Genomic DNA, 20,444 nt, shown 5'->3' on the forward strand with positions numbered 1-20,444 from the left:
TGAGAAGGTGGGATGATGTGCCACAGTTGCATGGTGGGATTGGAACTCAGATCCCTCTCCCCGCTGGAGGAGAGACCTGCTTGTCCCCTTTGCTGCCAGAAGGACCATGTCTCCACCCTCAGCTCCTGGGAACAGCAGGCCCTGGACCTCCCCTTCATGACAGTGGGTTGCTGAGGTTGGTTCTCGCCTTGAGACACTACTCATCACTCTAAAATCACAGCTCAAAACAAACCAGCATGGGGGTTTGCTTTCAGAGAAATCCACTTATTTTGTCTGCACTTATGAAGGTGTTAGAAGCAATAACCCAAGAAGGAGGAATAAGGGGTGCTAGGAGGGAGTCAGGGAGAGAAGGAGAGGAAGTTGTCAGAGTTCTGCTATCTTTAGAAGCTGTTATTAGTTTCCTGTTAACAAAGCTTCTGCCATATTAATTTTATGGCTTAAAACAACACAAATTTATGATATTCCTGTTCTGTAGGTCAGGAGTGTGATAGGGTCTCACTAGGCTGGCTGGAGTCCAGGTCTCAGCAGGGCTGCATTCCTCTTTGGAGGGTGTTTCCTTGCCTTTATCAATTCTAGGGGCTTCCTGCATTCCTTGGGTCATGACCCCCTTTCTCCATCTTCAACCGCAACCTTGCATTTTTCTGATCCTTCTGTGGTCACTTCTCTGACCCAGCTGGTGTGATAAGATTGAGCCCACTCAGATAATCCAGGATAATCTCCTCATTGCAGGGCCCTTAACCGTAATCCCATCTGCAAAGTCCCCTTTGCCATGTAAGGGAACATAGCCACAGTCTGGGGACCAAGACATGGGCATCACTGGGGGCCAGGATTCTGCCACAGAGGCCCGTTGCACAGCCTTCTTGGCCTCATGCCCAACGTTGGCCCTTGTGTTTTGCTTCCTTCCCTGACTCAGCCCATTTCAGGAGGATGCTTTTGTGGTCAGCAAGGATTCAGGCTGGGGTTGGCTTTCAGGGAAAATGGCTGGGGCGAAGGGCCAGGAGGGGTCTGGCATGGTTAGTGGGGTCTTGCCACAGCTTTTCACCCCCATGCCCATGTCCCTGACCTTCCATGCTGGCATGGCCCTGCGAGTCCCTGTCTCTAGGGAGAGCTTAACACCTCTGCTAAATGCCTGGGTGGGATGGCAATGGAAACTTTTGTCCCTAAAGGCAGATGCTGGCTTGCATGGGTTCAGGAGCAGGTGTGCTTCTTGAACACCCTTAAGTAGTGTGAGATGTAAAGAGGAGCATAGAGACACTCCTGGGCCCCTACCAAGTACCGATGCTGGGCTCTTCCCCTCCATCTCTTCATTATCAGAACCCTCTGAGGTAGTCAGTCTCGTTTCCAGCTTACCTGTAAGAAACTCCAACTCAGAGGAGTAAAGGGACTCGCCCAGCATCACACAGCTAGTCAGGGATTCTGACCTGGATCTCCTGTTTCCAAGTTTAGAGCTTCTTTAAGAAAGCCCATGGACATCGTCTTGGTAAGGGAGTGCAGAGGGGGCGGGGAGGAGAGGAGATATGAGGCTGGATTCCACTCCACTGAGGAAGGTCTAGTTTTCTTTGCTATAGAATGAGGGTGATAGTCCTAGGCCTGTGGCTGTTTTAAGGATTCAGTGAGATGGTGGATTTATTTATTTATCTGAGACAGAGTCTTACTCCATCACCCATGCTGGAGTGCAGTTGTGTGATCTTGGCTCACTGCAACCTCCGCCTCCCAGGTTCAAGGAATTCCCCTGCCTCGGCCTCCTGAGTAGCTGGAATTACAGGCACATACCACCATGCCCAGCTAATTTTTGTATTTTTAGAAGAGATGAGGTTTTACCATGTTGGCCAGGCTGGTCTCGAACTCCTGATCTCCAGTGATCCGGCCACCTCAGCCTCCCAAAAAGTGCTGGGCTTACAGGCATGAGCCACTGTGCCCAGCCTAGATGGTGGATTTAAATGCTTCCTAAAATGCCAGCTGCCAGGTGGCCTTTATCACCAGGAGGGTCCCACCCCTCAGTGCGCTGCTCAGCAGTGGGAGCACAGGGAGCCCCAGGCTTGGAGTCGAGTCAGTGGCCTAGGCCTGGTCCACGCTCCTGCCCTGAGCTTCACGGCGGGTCTCTGTGCCTTGGGGTGAGCAGGCAGTTGGGTTGGTAAACAATAACAGTAAATTTGGGGTTTTCCTTTGACTGGGTTGGAGACAGGAAATGCAGGAGGCTGTGAGTGACGAGTGGGTAGAGTGGGTAGCAGGTAGGTCGGGTAGGTCGGGCCTGCTCAGGGTGTGAAGGAAATTCAGTTATTCAAGGGAGGAGGGTGAGGGTGGTGAGGCTGGGGAAAGTGGCTGGCCCACTTACTGGTGAATATAAACAAACCCTCTGGGCACTCCCCAGGTGGGGCAGAGTGGGGACAGGGGAGGCTTTGAGGGGCAGCCACCGCATCCTCAGCCCTGAGAATGCAGCTCCTTTCGGGCTCTGTCTCTGGAAGCCTACATTTAGGGGCTCCAGCCGCCCCTGGGTCCTTTTGCTCACTTCATCTTCCTGTCGTCTCCCTGCACTCAGTCAGAACAGTGTGGCTCCCCAGCATACTCGACCACTAGATAATCCAGGCACTTGGTGTATGTCCTGTGCTTTGGGAGAAACAAATGAAGTGTAGGGCACAGTTCCTGCCCTTGAGAACCTAGTTGGGGAGATACAAAATGCCTGTGTGCAGCAGCAAGTGGCTTTGTCTTCCCTTTCCCTGTACCCACAGGCCTGGACACATTAGGGGCTGTTCCAGACTGAGAACAATGTGTCATTCAAGCCCAGGTGGCATAGGGCAGCCTCTTAGGGCCCCAGAGGTTTTCAGATGAGCATGAGTGAGGTGAAAAAACCAAAATGACAAAATAAACCACACCCTGGATCCTCGTCCTCTGGACGAAGATCTCACATCTATGCCTTGTTGGGGAGGATTTCAGTCCTCCCCCACCCAGGCATGTGAAGATTAAATGAGGCTGTGCCAAGACTTGGAAAGGTGGGGGAAGTGCAACTCGTGTGGAAAGATAGGACTGCCCCCTGGGCTCTGGGCCACCATTCAGACAGGTCAGTGCCTTGGCCTTTTCAGCCTAGGCTGCTCTTTAAAAAGAAGACCTTCAGCCACTATCCAAGAGTAAAAATGTCACATTTTCAACATTCAGCTCATCTTGAGCACCTCCTCTGTGTCATGCCCAGTGCTTAGGACTTCGGAGACACACAGATGAGTCCAGAAGTGGGTCTAGCCTTTGTGGAGCTCAGCATAGAGAAGTGGCGGGCATCGCTGTAACAGAAGAACTGATGCTCTCCAGAACAGGAGCAGAGGTGGTTGGAGTGCATAAGGTGGAGCTATTCTGTTAGAGACCCAGGAGAGCTTCCTAGCAGCCCTTCAAGCTGGCACCTGACTGACAGTTTTGATGGCAGAAAATGGAATAGCATGATGGAGATTTCCCCATTGCATTTCTGCTCTCACTTCTCTCTGCAAGAGCTAGATCCTTCCTTCTCCAACAGGTTCACCCCTCCTGTCTTGTGGTCTGAACTGCTGTCTGTCTGCTCATCTCGTTAGCTTGACCTTTGACCCCTCATGGGTTCTGCTCATGGAAATCTGATTTACTCCTCTCTGTGGGGTGCCCTTGGTGTTTTCTGTCCATTTTCCCTTTCCAGCCCCTCCAACTTGGATTTGCCTCATAAATGATGTTTGCTCCCTGAAAAACAAAATTTGGGGATGTGGGCTGATGGGGCTTTTGCCACGTTTCACTCAATTCATTAATTTTTTAAAAAGTGTTACAGTGGTACACCTTAAACTTAGATCTTTTGTAGTTAGGCACTTTCTGAATCATCATGGAAAATGATGACATTACATGAAATTGAGAGCCCTCCTGGAAGAGCAGGATGAGCAATTGTTAGGGGCTTCCTTGCCCCTCTTCCCTCTGCCACTAAAAGGCCTTTCTCATCCCTTTGTCCTCATGGTTCTTACTCCACTCAGTTTAAAAGTGGAGCCCTTGGGAGCCTCCCTGGCACTCACACACAAAAATGTCAATATACTTGGCGTCCACCCTTTCCATTTTTAACACACCACCATCTGGAACCCAGAATTACCTTGGAATTTACTTGTCTCCTCTAGAGGGAGTCATAATTGCTTGGAAGGTAAGTTACTGCCCAGAGCCTCTGGCCAGGAAGTCTTTTGGCTGTCAAGCCTGCAGGATTTCAGGTGGGGCTGCCAAGGTGGTGGAACCTGTGTTTGATAAGTCATTTTTAGGGACCAGGGCTGCCATGCAAATGCATTTGTTTGCATAACTTTCTTGCTCTCAGGGACAGTAAAGTTTCCTACTGCCATCCCACACCCCTGCCAGGATTTGCAAGTGAAATACCAGGACTGACTTTCCACTTTCCCCCTTCATGAGTCCTCCCTTCCTAAGTCCTCCCCCACCCCTTGGTTTTGGTTTTGTCTCTGAGGTCCTGTGTGACCAAATACTAGTCTCAACCTCTCTGATCCTAGGGTAGTAGTGTTTCCAGGACCCTGATATGCAAAGTATCTGTACAAGTTATGCAAATGAGCATCCTGTCTGGGTGGCTCTGGTCCTAGCCCCGGGCAGTTACTAGCTCTGACTACTGCTGTCCGAGTGTGTGAAACGTGATCTTGCTCCTTCCTCTGTCCAGGCAGCTGTGGGTCTCTTGTTCCTCAAACAGCTACTGCCTCTTGGGGTAATAAGGCCTCAAGTTTCAGAATGAGCTGAGTTCTCCTAGCCCTTACCTTCTGATCTGGAGACATGTGGTTCTGAATTCACCAGTCAAAGGTTTACTTTTGAAAGAAACCACGATCTCATCTAAGTCTAAGACAGAGACCTTGGTTAGCTGGAGTCTGTGGTGCAGAGAGACCTGGTATTTGTAGTAAGACCTAGAGGGGCCTTTGGTTTTCTGGCACTCAGCTGTCTCCTTTTCTGGTCACAAACCTATTCTAAGGAAATGGTCCTCATAGTGAGACTCTAGCCCTACCCACCCACAGGAGGGTCGAGGGCAGGAGGGGAAGGATGACAGCCAGGCATTCTTTGAGCCAGTGTGCAAGGAAGAGAAAGGGTAGACGAGAAATTCAGTCTGATCGGCTTATTTCAGGCTCTGAAAATGACAGCTGACTCAGGGTAGGTGCTTAGTATCTGTTGGATGGATGAAAGCATCTAAAGGAAAATTAACACAAGTAATTTTAGTAACTCAAACAAGACATTATATGTACATATATAGACATACAGAGTGAGGCGTGAACCTTTCTCTTTATAACGTCTCCACCTCAGTGATGCCAATTCCCTCTCCAGAAAAAACTTCATTGAACAGCTTTATTTTTTTTGAAATTTTTATCCAAAAAGTTTCTGAAAATTTATCTAGATACAAATATACTTATAAGCACAACTGAGAAGTTTCTTTGGCAGTTATAACAAGTACAAATGGAATCATTAGGCATATTGTTCTGCAACCTGCTTTTAAAAAATTGTGATAAAATACACTTAACTGAAAATTTACCATCTTAAACATTTTTAACTGTAAACTTCACTAGTATGTTCACATTGTTGTGCAACTGACAGACTTTTTCATACCCATGAAACAACATACAGCTTGCTTTTTTCACTTAGCATATCTTGTGAATTTCCATGATCAAACTCATAGAACTATCATTCTTTTTCTAAATAGTTGCAGAGTATTTTATAGTATGATGTACCACAATTTATCTGCTGTGGATGGATATTTCTCACCTCCTTTCTTTTTTATTTGTCTTTTAACCTCATTTGCACTGAAGGACTACCCTCCCCCCCTTTTTCTACTATTTATATAGATCTCACAAATATCTTGTACAGTATCTTCGAGTGTGTGTGTAAGGATTTCTGTAGTATAGATCCCTAGTAGTGGAATGGCAAGATCTAAGGGTATACACATTTTAGTTTTTGATAGGGACTGCCAAAAAGACAGTATCGATTTATGAATGAATGCACTTTGCATATTGCTTTCCAAGTGAGAGCTTTACGAAAGGGTTTGCTGTCAGCAGCAAATCTGGGGGTAGAGTCAGTCAGCCGAGAGTAAAAGGGCATTTATAGCACTTCCCAAAACTGATAGATGTAGACCCTTGGCCACATTGTGGGCGAGTGGAAAAGTCAGCTGTAGAGGGGTTTAGGGGATTCCTTCAACATCTCCCCATATCAGTGGCCCTGCTCACTCAATTATGGTTATTTGCATACATTTTGGGCATGTAGGCAGAATGGCTCAAAGACAAAAATCTGAGGTTCAGCCTTGTTTGGCCTCCTGGTGTTTGATCTTGACCGGGCTACCTGCTTCTCTGACTGGCATGCAAATGCCTGTGGGGGATGACAAGTGTGCACATAACATAAGTGACATAAGGCTGACTCTGGTGGGTGCTGTAAGAGAGGCCCAGAGTGCTGTGGGAAGTTACAGAGGAGGCACGCCTCTGGTTAGGAATAGCAGGGAGGAGGAGGCGGCTTTGACTCCGGGTTGTAGGTGTTGTGGGGCACACAGGACACATGCAGGACCCACTATACAGGAGCTCACTAGACAGGAGCTCAGCCACATTGCCTCCCAATGTGACACTGATTGTGTGCCCAGCCCTCTGCTGGGTACCGAATCTGAGGCATCAGTCTTGGGGATGGCTTGGGATGTGGTGGTCAGTAGCTCAGTTGCATATGGCACAAAGATAAATCTTTGGAGTTACTCTAAGCTGGGTCCCAACTATGAGCAGATGACTTGTCCTCTCTGAGCCTCAGCTTGTCAACCGGTAAAATGGGAATTATTATTGAGGCACCCATGAACATGTGCCCCAGAGACCTCCTATTATGGGGAGCTTATTTGTCCAAGGGCCCCAGCTATGGCACTCTGAAATTCATTGTCTCATTTGTGTGGAGGCCACACTTCCTTTCTCGTGCTCCCAGTCAATGACAGTACAACAGGGATGTGAAGACGCACCCGTTCCTGGGAGAACCAGGACTCGAAGGATGGCCAGCTTTGCCCCTGGCAACTTCATAGACACTTGTGCCTGGGGCCCTTGTGCACATCCTCCTCTCCCTCTTTCCTTAGTGGGGTCACACACCGGTGGTTCCCCAGCCTCGCTTCACACTCCCTATTTTCTCTCATAAAGAAATTTCCCCTAACTGAACCCTTGTATGTGTAATCCTGTTTTGGCATCTGCTTCTTGGAAAATCTAGACTACAATATTATCACCAACCTTAGAAGGTGGTGAGGACTAAATGAAAAATCAGGTAAAAAAATCATATGAAAGACTTAGCATAGTTATATAAACGATTATGGAAAAGCCTCAGCCTGGCACATAGTTAGCACTCATTATTATCATATATTCTCATGCATTATACAGTGGGTACTGTAGCCATCATTGTACCAGTGTGAGCAGGTTAATTTAACTTAGGAGACTGCATTTAGAAGTCAAGAAACCTGCTTTCCTGCCCCTTCCCTGCTCTATCTCCCGAGTTCTCTATCCCCTCACATGTGCCCTTTATATAAGAGTGGCAGTTGTTACTCTTAACTCCCTAGGCTGGCCCCGGACTCCTCTTTTTGGGATAAAGGTGATTAACGCCGTGTGGCTTTTGCTGAGAAGGGAGGCTGCTACAGGGGTCTGCTGCAGGGACGTTCAGACTCAGTGGATTTGTAGCTCTTTAGCCCCGCAGAGAGGAGCCCCTGCCCTGCTGAGCTGTAGGCTTGCTGGGAGGTAGCAGGAGTAGGTGGGTGGGTCACTGAGGGGTGCTGGCAGCCGGGTAGTGTTGGCGGTGGGGGCTGAGGGAGGATGATGGGAAGACAGTGAGCCTCCGAGTGAAACAGACCATGAGAGGCGAGGTGAGTCACAGGTTTCTCTCAAAACCCCCATGCCCATGGTCTCTAGAATGTGCCGAAAGTGGAGCCCGCCATCCCCAGCCTAGGCCCCAGTTCTAAGAATGCCTCCCCTTCTCTCCCTCCCACAGTCGCCCAAATTAATCAGGTCCTCGGCTTTGGGGGGTATCGTTCTCTTTTAAGAATGCAGCAGAGAAAACCGCTGGGTTGTATCCCAGCAAAGGAGGCCACAGAGATTAGGGCTGATTGGGAGGAAATGTGAGAAGAGCGGTGTCTAGTTTAGGTTTTAGAACCTGGCTCTTCCTGCTCACACCACCAAAGAAAATTTGGCTTGAGAGATTCAAAAGAGGTTGTGTGGTGTGTAGGCTGCAACCCTAGATTCCTACAGATCTGGATTCATGGTCTTGCTCTAGCACCCAGCAGCTCAGAGCCCTCAGTGTTTGTATGCGTCAATTCCCCAATTAGTAAAAACAGTGATTTAAGAGCATCTTTGTTATAGCGCTGTTGTGAGAATGAGATAGCGAATCAGTATTAACCTTTAGCCCAGTTCCTAAATTAAAGCCCTATGAAGAGCCTCTCAGCTCAGTTCAGAGACTGCCAGTTCCCCCTTGTGAGTCTTTCTTTTCTTTTGGATTTTTGATCTCCAACGACTCCATAAGGAAGTGAAATAATTATCCCCATTTTATAGATTTGTAAACTGAGGCTCAGCTTGATTAAGTACCTAGGAAACAATCCTTTGTAGTACAGGACCCTGAGGTTCAACAGTGGTTTATCGCCTCCTTGGGACACCACCCAAAGGCAAAAGGGAAGCAGCGAAAGCATTTGAAGCTCAGAGAGGCTCAAGGCCAAGCCACAGCTTAGGGACCTGCAAAGTTCGCGGAGCTGCAGAGCTGGACGGGTGGGGCAGAAGCCACTCTTTCCATCCTCCAGGTCCTTGCGGTGGAACATTCCTCAGTTACCAGCACAACTCATTTTGAGTTTTGTTCACATGTCACTTTTCTCTTTCTTTTCTTTCTTTCTTTCTTTCTTTCTTTCTTTCTTTCTTTCTTTCTTTCTTTCTTTCTTTCTTTCTTTCTTTCTCTTTCTTTCCTTCCTTCCTTCCTTCCTTCCTTCCTTCCTTCCTTCCTTCCTTCCTTCTTTCTTTCTTTCTTTCTTTCTTTCTTTCTTTCTTTCTTTCTTTCTTTCTCTTTCCTCCTTCCTTCCTTCCTTCCTTCCTTCCTTCCTTCCTTCCTTCCTTCCTTCCTTCCTTTCTTTCTTTCCTTTTCTTTCTTCTTTTTTTTTTTTTTTTTAGAGGGAGTCTCGCTCTGTCTCCCAGGCTGGAGTGCAGTGGTGCGACCTTGGCTCACTGCAATCTCCGCCTCCTGGGTTCAAGTGACTCTTATGCCTCAGCCTCCCATGTAGCTGGGATTACAGGCACCCGCCACCAGGCCCGGCTACTATTTGTATTTTTTAGTCGAGACGGAGTTTCACCATGTTGGCCAGGCTGATCTCGAACTCCTGACCTCAAGTTACCCACCCGCTTTAGCCTCCCAAAGTGCTGGAATTACAGATGTGAGCCACTGCCCCCTGGCCACGTGTCACTTTTTCAATGACACCTACCCTTATTGTCTGATTTAGAACTGCAATTTTTCCTCCCACCTTTGACTCCTCACTCTGGGCATTCTCTGTAACCCTTCATGGCTCTATTTTAAAAAATCGTTTTTATTGAATTACTGTGTACATACACACAGTTATCCTACTTAATTTTCCCCCATAGATCTGATCACCTTCTAAAAATCTGTATAACTTGTTTATAATGGCTAGCATGTAACCTCCACAAGGGCAGGGATTTGTGTCTGTTTTATCCATGGACACATCCCAGTGCCTGGCATATAGCAGCTCTCAGCTACTTATTGAAGGTTGGTGGGAAATTGCTGGCATCCAGTACTCTTTGCAGAGAATGAAGATGAACCTCCCTGACTTGACAGTTTCGTGGAGAACAACACAAGGCGCTGTATGAGTCAGTGCTAAGGGCTGTGGTAACGACAGCAGCACGTGCTGGGTGGGACCAGGAGCATGTCCCCAGAAGTCTGTGAGATCCAGGGAAGCCCTCCTAGAGGAGGTTAGTTGGCACTTCCATTTCTTTAGCTCCCCCATCAGCTGAGACAGCTCCTCCTGCCCTAATAGAGGGAAGGATTCACTCTGTCAAACCCAGATACCTCCTGCTCTTTCTGCCCATTTCCTCTTGTTCTGCCCTCAGTGGGTCCTGTGGCGGTAACCGCACTAACCATTCCAGCCCATCTCATTCCTTACCCCACAGTCCCAGCAGGCTAAGTATGGGCTGCTGCAGACAAATTGCCCACAGGCTTGTGTAGCTTGGAAGGGGCAAGCAGCAGACAGCTTGCCCTTGGAGTAGGGTTGAACCCATGGATGCACATCCTGGCACTTGTCATGAAGCCCAACACATAGATGATGCTCAGTAAATATAGGATGAGTGGATGGATAAAGCTGAGAGTTAAAAGATGCCTGGAGGCCAGGTGCAATGGCTCATTTCTGTAATCTCAGTGCTTTAGGAAGCAGAGCAGGAGGATTGCTTGAGACCAGGAGTTCAAGGCTGCAGTAAGCTATGATAACCACCACTGCACTCCAGCCTGGGTGGCAGTGCCCTAAAAAAAAAAGAAGAAAAGAAAAATAAGATGCTCTGAGAAGACATTTAAATGACTCAGTCTCTGTCTAGACACAACAGTGGCATCATTTAAACAAATTTCTGTTTTTTTTTTTTTTTTACTTTACTATGTGTTTGTATTTAGCATTTTATTTTATGCCACTTTCCCCAAATGGAAGCTTGCGTGATTGTATTCTGTGTGGCACAAAATCAAGGAAATAGGAAAATAACAATGAGAATGTAGGGAGAGGAGGATACATACCAAAAGCCCTCACTCAGTGGAGCCAAGTGGAGCTGAAACCCGGATAGTAAAACCTGCTGTTGTCTAGATGTTCAGACCCCTGCTCCTCCAATGAGCCATTCTGAGGACAACCCTGGGCCACAACCCTATTGTGGGGGTAGGAGTATATTCCTTGGTCCTCAAGCTTATAGGAGAAGTGGAGTGTCACAATTCTTACGGGGTCCCAATTCCTCTCTGTATTTATATTAGTATCACATGTCCCTAAACAGGCATATTGAAGAGTAGGTTGAGACATGGGCATTCTGGGGTATATCTGAGTCACAGAATCTCAGGGCTGGAGGCCCACAAAAGGATACTTTTGTTTATTTCTCAAACTTTCTGAAATCATAGATCACCAAATCATAATATTTGCCATGCTCCACCCTTGCAAACTTTTTACTTAAAAGATATACTGACTCCAAACCTCTGAATAGCCACATATAGAGCATAAACTAAGGGGATGGAATTGTTTTAGGTATTGTGGTTGCAAAAAGATAACATTTCATCAGTCTTCACTACCAGAACATAGAGAACTCTATTATTTTTCCCAATTCTAATAGCACACTTGCAATTGTTTTCATAGGATCTAGACTAGAGTTCCATGAACTCTATAATTGAAGTCACCAATCCCGGAATGTACTTACTCCTAAGAAGGAGTTCTGTAGCCACATTGGAAACCACACCCCTTTCTTCTTGATTTGTCCTCATAGGACATGAAGAGTGGTTGGTGATGCCTCTTTAGATTCATTCAGTGATAACTTACAGCCTGAGGCTTTCATGGGGAAGCCAATGAACACTGAACTTCAGAGCCTTGACTTGTGGCCAGATGCAGTGGCTCACACCTGTAATCCCAGCACTTTGGGAGGCCGAGGCAGGAGAATTGCTTGAACCTGGGAGACAAAGTTTGCAGTGAGCCGAGATCATGCCACTGCACTCCAGCCTGGGCAACACAGTTAGAATCCATCTCAAAAAAAAAGAAAGAAATGTGCTCTGTCATAATTCTGGAGACTAGTGGTACAACATCAAGGTACCTGCAGGCATGTTTCTTCTGAAGGCTCTGGAGAAGAATCCTCCTTACCTCTTTTAGTTTTTGGTGGTTGCTGGCAATCCTTTGTTCATGGGAGTTTAATTCCAATATCTGTCTCTGTCTTCATGTGGTTGTCTTTCCTATGTGTGTATGTCTCTGTGTCCAAATTTTAGTCTTATAAGGCCTAGTCATTGGATTAGGGCTCACTCTAATCCAGTGTGAACTCATTTTAACTTGATCACAACTGCAAAGACCCTATTTACAAACAGGGTCACATTCACAGGTACTGGAGGGTTAGGACTTGAACATAATTTTGGGAGACACAGTTCAACCCACAACACCCAGTATGGTCAACAACATGGTGCAGCTGCCACTAAAGGATCAGCAATAGTGGTGAGGCTGCATCACAACAGATGATCCTGGAGAAGGAGGATGATCCTCCTAAGCTGCCTGGACCAGGCCAGCTCCAGGGGTGTCAGCAGGACTTGACTCCTCTGGCTTCCCTTGGCTCCATGACCTCACACTCCCATCTTCCCTTTCATCTTTCTGGCTGTTCCCCCTTGGTTTCCATTGCTGAGATCTCTTCCTCAACTCAACCATTAAATGACTGTGTTCCTCAGTGGCTTAAACTTTCTCTTCTCATTCTATATATATATATATATATTTTTTTGAGTTGGTATCCTCTCCCATGGCTTTAGTTATTTATATACTGATGACTCCAGAATCTTCTGGAGACATCTCCTGAAATCCAATTAGACATCTCTACTTAGGTATCTTAGAGTAGCTCAGCTGAATACATTCCAAATTGCGCTCTTGTTTTTTTTTGAGATGGAGCCTCACTGTGTCACTCAGGCCGGAGTGCAGTGGTGTGATCTCAGCTCACTGCAACCTCCGCCTCCTGAGTTCAAGCGATTCTCCTGCCTCAGCCTCCTGAGTAGCTGGGATTACAGGTGCGCACCACCATGCCTGGCTAATTTTCGTATTTTTAGTAGAGACAGGGTTTCGTCCTGTTGGCCAGGCTGGTCTCAAACTCCTGACCTCAAGCGATTCACCTGCCTTGGCCTCCCGAAGTGCTGGGATTATAGGCATGAGCCACCATGCCTGGCCTAAACTGGGCTCTTTATTGTAGTCCTTTTTAATTTAATCTAATTTAATTTTTGTTTTTTAAAGACTAGTCAAATGCAGTAGTGAGAAGCAGGAAAAGAGGATAACAAGGAGTTTGATCTGTAGCTGATAGTGAACAATCAATCGAGATAATGTACTACCTTTGGACCAGCCAATTCCCACCCCCTCTGCCCCGACACTTTTTAATTTTTTTAACCTAGGCTTCCTTCAAGATTTCCAGCCTCAGTAGGTGGCACCACCATCTGTCCATTTGCCTATGAAATCCTTGGTTTCTTCCTTTCCTCCACTCCTCACATCCAGCCAGTCACCAAGTCTAATTGACTTTACATTTGAACTAGCTCACAAATGTGTCTACATAATGTCCTAGTTATTTTGACTACCACTACCTTGGTTTCTGGCCACCCTCTGATTTTTTTTTTTTTTTTTTTTTTTTGGCTTGGATTACTGTAACAGGTTTTGAAATGGTCTCCCAGATTCTGGTTTTATTCTCTTCAAATCCACTTTCCATACAGCAGCCTGAATGCAAATACAATCATATTATTTTCCTGCTTCAATCTCTCCAGTAGACTCCCACCCTCTTTAGGATATGAGTCAACCTCCCTAACATGGCCTGCTAGACACTGCAAGCTCTGACCCCAACTTACTTCTCGAGCCTCATTTCTCTTTATTCCCTCTTCTTTCTGTCACTTCCCCTGCCCCTTGCTTTCTCCCCCACATTTTTCACATGCTGTTCTTTCAGCCCAGCACACTGTTCCTCCCTTGCTTTACATAATTAACTGACAGTCATAGTTCAGGTCTCAGCTTAAATGTCCTTTCTTCTAGGGAGGCCTTTCCTGATCCACAATTTGCTTGCTCCCATCAGTGCCTGGTCACCAAGTTGCACAACTCCAAGGGGTGAAATTTGCATTGTATTATGTGTGAATGGTGCCCCTGAAATGGTGCAATGCACGAGCCAGCACACTTTGTTCCTCACTGTCACTGTTTAATTATCTTCCCTCCTGGACTGCAAGCTCCAAGTCAGATTCTCCGATGTAAGTCTTGTATAAAGTAAGAACTCAATCAATATTTGTTGAATCAATAAATGAGATCTTAACAGAGAAATGGCTAATTGGAATGTGCACAAGAAATATGAAACAAATTTCTGGAACCCTCCCCTCTTACAGAATAATTTAAGTAATTGAAGATATTTAGTTTGGACAAATGAAGATTTAGAACAGATATAATAGCTGCTTTCAATATTTGTAGGGCTAGTGTGTGAAAATAGAATACATTTATTCTTTTTTTATCCCAGAAAGATAAATAAAAGAGCTGAAGACAGGTTATAGGGAAGCAAATTGGGGCCTGATAATAAAATTGAAATAAACTTCCAACCCTGAGAGTTGTCCAGAAATGAAACAGATGGCACCCAAAGTAATGAGTTCTGCTTCACTGCAAAGATTGAAGTCTGTAGGATCGAACTCCATCTGTAGGATCATTGAGGGCAGCAGCTGGACAAGAGAGCTTTTGAGGCTCTAACTCAAAATTTTATCGTGATTGTATGGCTGTGGGGAAAGTTTACTTTCTACTTAAACTCAAGCATTTATGTAATGCCTCTGTGTGTTGGTCATCACTGGAAACATGCAGAGGTCTGCACTCATCCCTGTGCTCAAAGGTGCACAGCCAGGTTGGAGGCACAGTGTCAAGTTCACAATCTGAAGGCAGAAACTTGCAGAGTATCGAGTGTCTAAAAGTTCAGTACAGAGTGTGGTCTGGCGTTATGCTGGAAGGCGTCACAGAAGAGAAGGGGCTTGAAAACGGTCACAGTGGATGGGCAAGAGCTGGAGAGGAGGGTCCACTTCAGGAGGAAGAGGCTGATGGTGGAGCCTGCAAGAGAAGCAGACGTGGCCAGTACACAGCCGGCGTGCCTCACACCTTTCATTTACAGCCTCGGAGTCTGCAGTGGGCTTTGCAGCGCTCTGGTTTCCCTAGCTGAAACCAATGAGGAAGATGGGATGGGGCTGGCCTGAGAATTTGCTAAAATGCAGGAGTCATGTCCTGTGGTGAAAGGGAATGAACTCCTCGTCTATCCTGAACTCCTTTAAATATTCGGGGTACACTGTGTGAGTCGGAGATGACTTAGCTGCTCAGAAGAAGGAAGGGAGTAAGGGAAGCCTTGGATCAAAGGTGCCCAACAGTTTATAGCCTCAGACTTCATGTGTCTATTTTGTACATCTTTTGGCTGCAAGCAACTGAAAACCCAATTACCAATGACTTAAAGGAAAAATTATTATCTTACATATTGAAAATGCTGAGGTAGTTCTGATCTTGGATTGGTTAATTCATGGGTTTAACAAAAACATCAATGTCCTACTTCTTTCTGTTATTTCGTTTGTTGCTTTCCACATGTTGATTTATCCTCTTTGGCTGAGTCCCCTCATGGTTCCCAGAAGACTTTGGCAATTCCAGGCTTCAAATGTGGACATTTAGAGGCAGAAAAAAAGCCTAGTTTCCTTGCTTTTAAGAGTAAGAAAATATTTCCTGATACTCCTTCGGTCCTGGAGAGACTCAGACCTCTCTCCATGTTTTGTTATCCAGGTTATATCACAAACCCATTCCTAAATCAGTCACTGGACAGGCGAATTACCATGGAAGGGGCGCACTTCCCCTGAAGCACATGGATGCCCGATACCTGAACAAAATCAGGATTTGTTATCATGAGAGAGAAGGATGTCATGTTTTCTCTTGAGTTAGGATGCTAAGTTCTTCAGGTATAATGGAGACGAGGGTAGAGATGACCTGGCCAGTACTATTTGCCTTACCTGAGCTGGGGGTCCCAGTCAGGATATGCTGGCTGTGCTGGGGTAGCTGTGGTTGGTTCCTTGGTGGAGACTGAGATTCTCACTGGAGCAGTAGGTTGTGGGTTCAACCAGATGACCTTTAAGGCAACTTACAATCCTTACCACGAGCCTGGTATTGTGCTGGGCCCACAGCACAGTATCTCTTACAATCTTCATCTCAGATCTGCGAGTGAAGAATTATTATTCCTATCTTCAGGTAAGGGATTAAAATTATGTAACTTTCCCAAGGTCAATAGTAAGTGAGAGTGGGAATATGAAATCTGGTTAGTCCACGTATAACATAAGTGTTTGTCCAGTGTATGTCTCACTATGTCTTTCTTCCAACTTAAAATCTTCCATGAGTCTGGAACAAGCCTGGGAGTGTGGCTTAGACCTGTACTTATCAAACTCTCTTTGGCTAAGAGCCAGATTTTTTAAAAATTTTAATCCATTATGGATCAAAATTTTTTGTAAAATATAAAAAAAGAAATACTTGGAAAATGAAATGAAAATATAATAAAGATATACAAAATACAAGCCCTGTTTTAAATTATTTAATATAACACACACACACACACACACACACACACACACACACACACAGATAATCTGTCAAATTGCTATAAGATTTTCCAAACTCTTAATTTCTGTACTTACCTTGCCACAAGCTGGCAACAAACAGATCATGGACCAGCCCTGGACTTCAGCCCACACTGAGTAGCACTGATTCAGACAGCTTTCTGCCTCCATCCTCTTCCCTGGACTGCAACTAAAGATATTCAATGATCGGATGCCTCTGCCGAGGTGACAGTGGGAGAATTACTGGTTGTAATGTTAAGGCAAACATCAGAGGAAGAGATTAGATTTTGCCCTGTTGTTTTCATAGGAACTTCTGTTTTCTTTCTTCCTTTCTTTTTTCTTTTTTTCTTTTTTTAGAAGAAGAAAATTTTATTATTCAGTAAGCATTAACTAGAACGGGATGTTTGTCATAGGCAATTTGCACATAGATTGCAAAGTCAGAAAACAAAATTCACCCTTCTATACAGACAAGCCCATACAATCCTTTTTCCATACACGTTCTCAAGATAAACATGACTAGTCCTCAACTTGACTAGTCCTCAAGTAAGACGACTTGACTGCACTATTTGTTACACATCCTAGATTCACCTGCTAGCAGGGGTGACCGTCTATGTTTGCTAATTGGATTTATCCAAAGGAAAAATAAATTTCTTCATATTTTTGTGACAAGAGGTGAGTTTTGGAGAGAGGTGCCTGCCCACGTTAGGCTCCTACTCTCCGGAAGAGACGGGAAGTAGGGGCACTGTCTTCCTTAATGATTGCATTTCAAAGAGATGGCTCCCGGGTACTTGAGAAAGACATTCCTGAAGGGAAGAAAGCTGGCAAGAGGCTTATTTACCTTTTAAAAAGATTTACATAATTTCAAACAGGTAGAGAAAGAACTTAAAATTACAAGTTTTCTAAAGTAAATGCTCACAGGGAAAGTTAAGCCTCTTTTTTGGAATTTTTAAATTCAGAGGTACAAGTGCAGGTCTGTTACATGGGTAAACCTGTGTCGTGAGGGTCCACTGCACAGATTATTTCATCTCCCGGGTATTAAGCCTAGTGCCCATTAGTTATTTTTCCTGATCTTCTCCTTCCTCCCACCCTCCACCCTCCAGGACGTCTATTTTCTTCAAGAGATTTATATTAGACTTGAGAAAACAATTTCTCCTTCCTTCCTTCTTTCCTTCCTTCCTTCCTTCCTTCCTTCCTTCCTTCCATCCTTCCTTCCCTCCCTCCTTCCTCCCTCCCTCCCTCTCTCTCTCTTTCTGTTTTTCTTTCTTTCTTCTTTCTTTGTTTCTTTCTCCTTCCTTCCTTTTCTTTCTTTCTTCTTTCTTTCTCCTTTCCTTCCTTCCTTCCTCTCTCTTTCTTCTTTCTTTCTTTTCTTTCTTTCTTTCTTTCCTCCTTTCTTTCTTTCTTCTTCTTTCTTTGTTTTTCTCCTTCCTTCCTTCCTTTTTCTTTCTTTCTTCTTTCTTTCTCCCTCCCTTCCATCCGTCCTTTCTTCCTTCCCTCTTTCTTTCTTTTCTTTCTTCTTTTTTTTTCAGCGTCTTGGCTCTGTCACCCAGGCTGGAGTGCAGTGGCATGATCACAACTCACTGCAACCTCAAACTCCCGGGCTCAAGCGATCCTCCCACCTCAGCCGCTCAAGTAGCTGGGATTACAGGCATGTACCACCACACCTAGCTAATTTTTTGTATTTTTTTTGTAGAGATGGGGTTTTGCCACATTGCTCAGGCTGGTCTTGAACTCCTGAACTCAAGTGATCTACCTACCTTGGCCTCCCAAAGTGCTGGGTCTACAGGCGTGAGCCACTGTGCCCGGCCTCCTAGGAAACAATTTCTTGATGGTGATTTTCCATCTTTTTGCTGTGTAGGAAAGAGATTGAGCTCCATGGTAATATGTGAGAGAGAAGAGACTCAAGGGACTAAGAACCTGTACCACAAAAGGAAGGTCTGTTTTGGAGATTTGCTGGAGCTTCCCCATTGGATGTGTCATTGAATGATGATTCATCCTGGCCAAAAATAAAAGCTTCTTAAGCTGGGTGACTCTAAGTTTGTGTGTGGTTTACGCTTGGACATGCGTTACTTTTATGACATAAAAGTGACTTCAATCTGGTAAGATATATTTATAAACATAGAGGTCCTTTCATTTATTAGGAAATTCCAATTGTGTTACGGGGTCTTCTCAAGAGATCTAAATCTATTCTCCTCTAAGATTTAGGAAATCTAAGCCGGGCATGGTGTCACTCCTGTAGTCCAAACACCTTGGAAGGCCGAGACGGGTGGATCACTCAAGGCCAGGAGTTTGAGGCCAGCCTGGCCAACGTGGTGAAAGCCTGTCTCTACTAAAAATAGAAAAATTAGCCAGGTGTGGTGGCATGCACCTGTAATCCCAGCTACTTGGGAGGCTGAGACATGGGAATCACTTGAACCTGGGAGGCAGAGGTTGGAATGAACCACTACACTCCAGCCTGGGTGACAGAGTGAGACTGTCAAAAAAAAAAAAAAAAAAGTTTGAAGAAATCTGGAATGATCATTTGTCCAGTATATGAAACTCTGAGAATACTACACATGTGGAAACTAGAATCTATCAGAAATTCCAGGATGCTCAAATATCTTCTCCCTCTCCTTCATTCACAAATGATTTGAACACTTATATTTTTCCTTCTACTGCTTTCTACTGATTTTCCTTCTACTGCTGTGAGTCTGATGGGCTTCAATACCATTGTGGTTGACTTATCCAAATGTGACTTTTCAATTCTGTGACTTTTATATCTCCAATGACCTTTTCTTTGCCTCTACACAGCAATTTGCTCTAACGGTTACAGCCTGGATTTTGTTATTCCTCAAAATGATACCACCTCCAAAAATCCCTTCATTTGAGCATTCCATTCTCTTGCCACAGCCTCCTCTCTTTAGTGATTCAGATACTCCCACTACAACTCTTCCTTGACCTCATGATCAACATGCTTCCTTTTCTTTTTTCAGCTCTCTCCTGCCTTTATTTCCTGCATTATTGAACTTAGACTGCTTGGTTCATCTTTTCATTCAGGCTCTTAGCTATACAGACATACCTTAGAGATATTGTGGATTTGGTTCCAGACCACTGCAAGACAGTGAATATCACAACAAAGCCAGTCCCACAAATTTTTTGGTTTCCCAGTGTATGTAAAAGTTATGTTTATACTAGACTGTAGTCTATTAAGTGTGCAATAGCAGTATGCCTAAAAAAGTACATCAATATACATATCTTATTTGAAAATACTTTATTGCTAAAAATGCTAATGATCACATGAACCTTCAGTGAGTTGTAATCTTTTTGCTGGTGGAGGGTCTCACCTTGATGTTGATGGCTGCTGATTAAGGTGGTGGTTGCTGAAGGCTGAGGTGGTTGTAGCAATTTCTTAAAATAGACAGCAGTGAAGTTTGCTGGATTGATTGACTCTTTCACAACAGATTTCTCTGTAGCATGTGACGCTGTTTGATAGCATTTTGCCTACAGTGGAACATCTTTCAAAAGTGGAGTCAGTTCTCTCAGGCCTGTCTGCTGCTTTACCAATTATGTTTATGGAGTACTCTAAATGTTTTGTTGTCATTTCAACAATATTCACAGCATCTTCCCCAGGAGTAGATTCCCTCTTAGTAACCACTTTCCTTGCTCATTCATAAGAAGCAACTCTTCATCTGTTCAAGTTTGATCATGAGATTGCAGCAACTCAGTCACATATTTTCAGTCTGCATTTCTAGTTCTCTTGCTATTTCCACCACATCTGCAGTGATTTCCTCCACTGAAGTCTTGAACTCCTCAAAGTCATTCATGAGGGTTGAAATTAACTTCTTCCAAACTTCTGCTAAAGTTGATATTTTGACCTTCTCCCATGAATCACGAGTGTTCTTAATGGCATCTAGAATGGTGAATCTTTTCCAGAATGGTTTCAATTTACCTTTCCCACACCCATCAAAGGAATCATTATGGCAGCTATAGCCTCACACAATGCATTTCTTAAATAATAAGACTTAAAAGCCAAAATTACTCCCTGATCCAGGGGCTGCAGAGTAGATGTTAGCAGGCAGGAAAACAACATTCACCTTTTTGTAAATCTCCATCAGAGCTCTTGGGTGACCAGGAGCATTGTCAATGAGCAGTAATATTTTGAAAAACAT

At 45.0% G+C, this 20,444-nt stretch overlaps 6 annotated features.

Annotated features, from left to right (window-relative positions):
- Nucleotides 2,732-2,781: an enhancer, noted in NCBI's record as "active region_2414". NCBI's record gives its function as "activates an Ori minimal core promoter by ATAC-STARR-seq in GM12878 lymphoblastoid cells {active_cell/tissue: GM12878}" and the evidence as "EXISTENCE:reporter gene assay evidence [ECO:0000049][PMID:35858748]".
- Nucleotides 4,436-4,485: a silencer, noted in NCBI's record as "silent region_1765". NCBI's record gives its function as "represses an Ori minimal core promoter by ATAC-STARR-seq in GM12878 lymphoblastoid cells {active_cell/tissue: GM12878}" and the evidence as "EXISTENCE:reporter gene assay evidence [ECO:0000049][PMID:35858748]".
- Nucleotides 4,516-4,625: a silencer, noted in NCBI's record as "silent region_1766". NCBI's record gives its function as "represses an Ori minimal core promoter by ATAC-STARR-seq in GM12878 lymphoblastoid cells {active_cell/tissue: GM12878}" and the evidence as "EXISTENCE:reporter gene assay evidence [ECO:0000049][PMID:35858748]".
- Nucleotides 6,392-6,441: an enhancer, noted in NCBI's record as "active region_2415". NCBI's record gives its function as "activates an Ori minimal core promoter by ATAC-STARR-seq in GM12878 lymphoblastoid cells {active_cell/tissue: GM12878}" and the evidence as "EXISTENCE:reporter gene assay evidence [ECO:0000049][PMID:35858748]".
- Nucleotides 6,532-6,641: an enhancer, noted in NCBI's record as "active region_2416". NCBI's record gives its function as "activates an Ori minimal core promoter by ATAC-STARR-seq in GM12878 lymphoblastoid cells {active_cell/tissue: GM12878}" and the evidence as "EXISTENCE:reporter gene assay evidence [ECO:0000049][PMID:35858748]".
- Nucleotides 10,083-10,182: an enhancer, noted in NCBI's record as "active region_2417". NCBI's record gives its function as "activates an Ori minimal core promoter by ATAC-STARR-seq in GM12878 lymphoblastoid cells {active_cell/tissue: GM12878}" and the evidence as "EXISTENCE:reporter gene assay evidence [ECO:0000049][PMID:35858748]".

Source organism: Homo sapiens, chromosome 1 (genome assembly GCF_000001405.40).
Source record: "Homo sapiens chromosome 1, GRCh38.p14 Primary Assembly".
In the NCBI taxonomy this organism is placed as follows: Eukaryota; Metazoa; Chordata; class Mammalia; order Primates; family Hominidae; genus Homo; species Homo sapiens.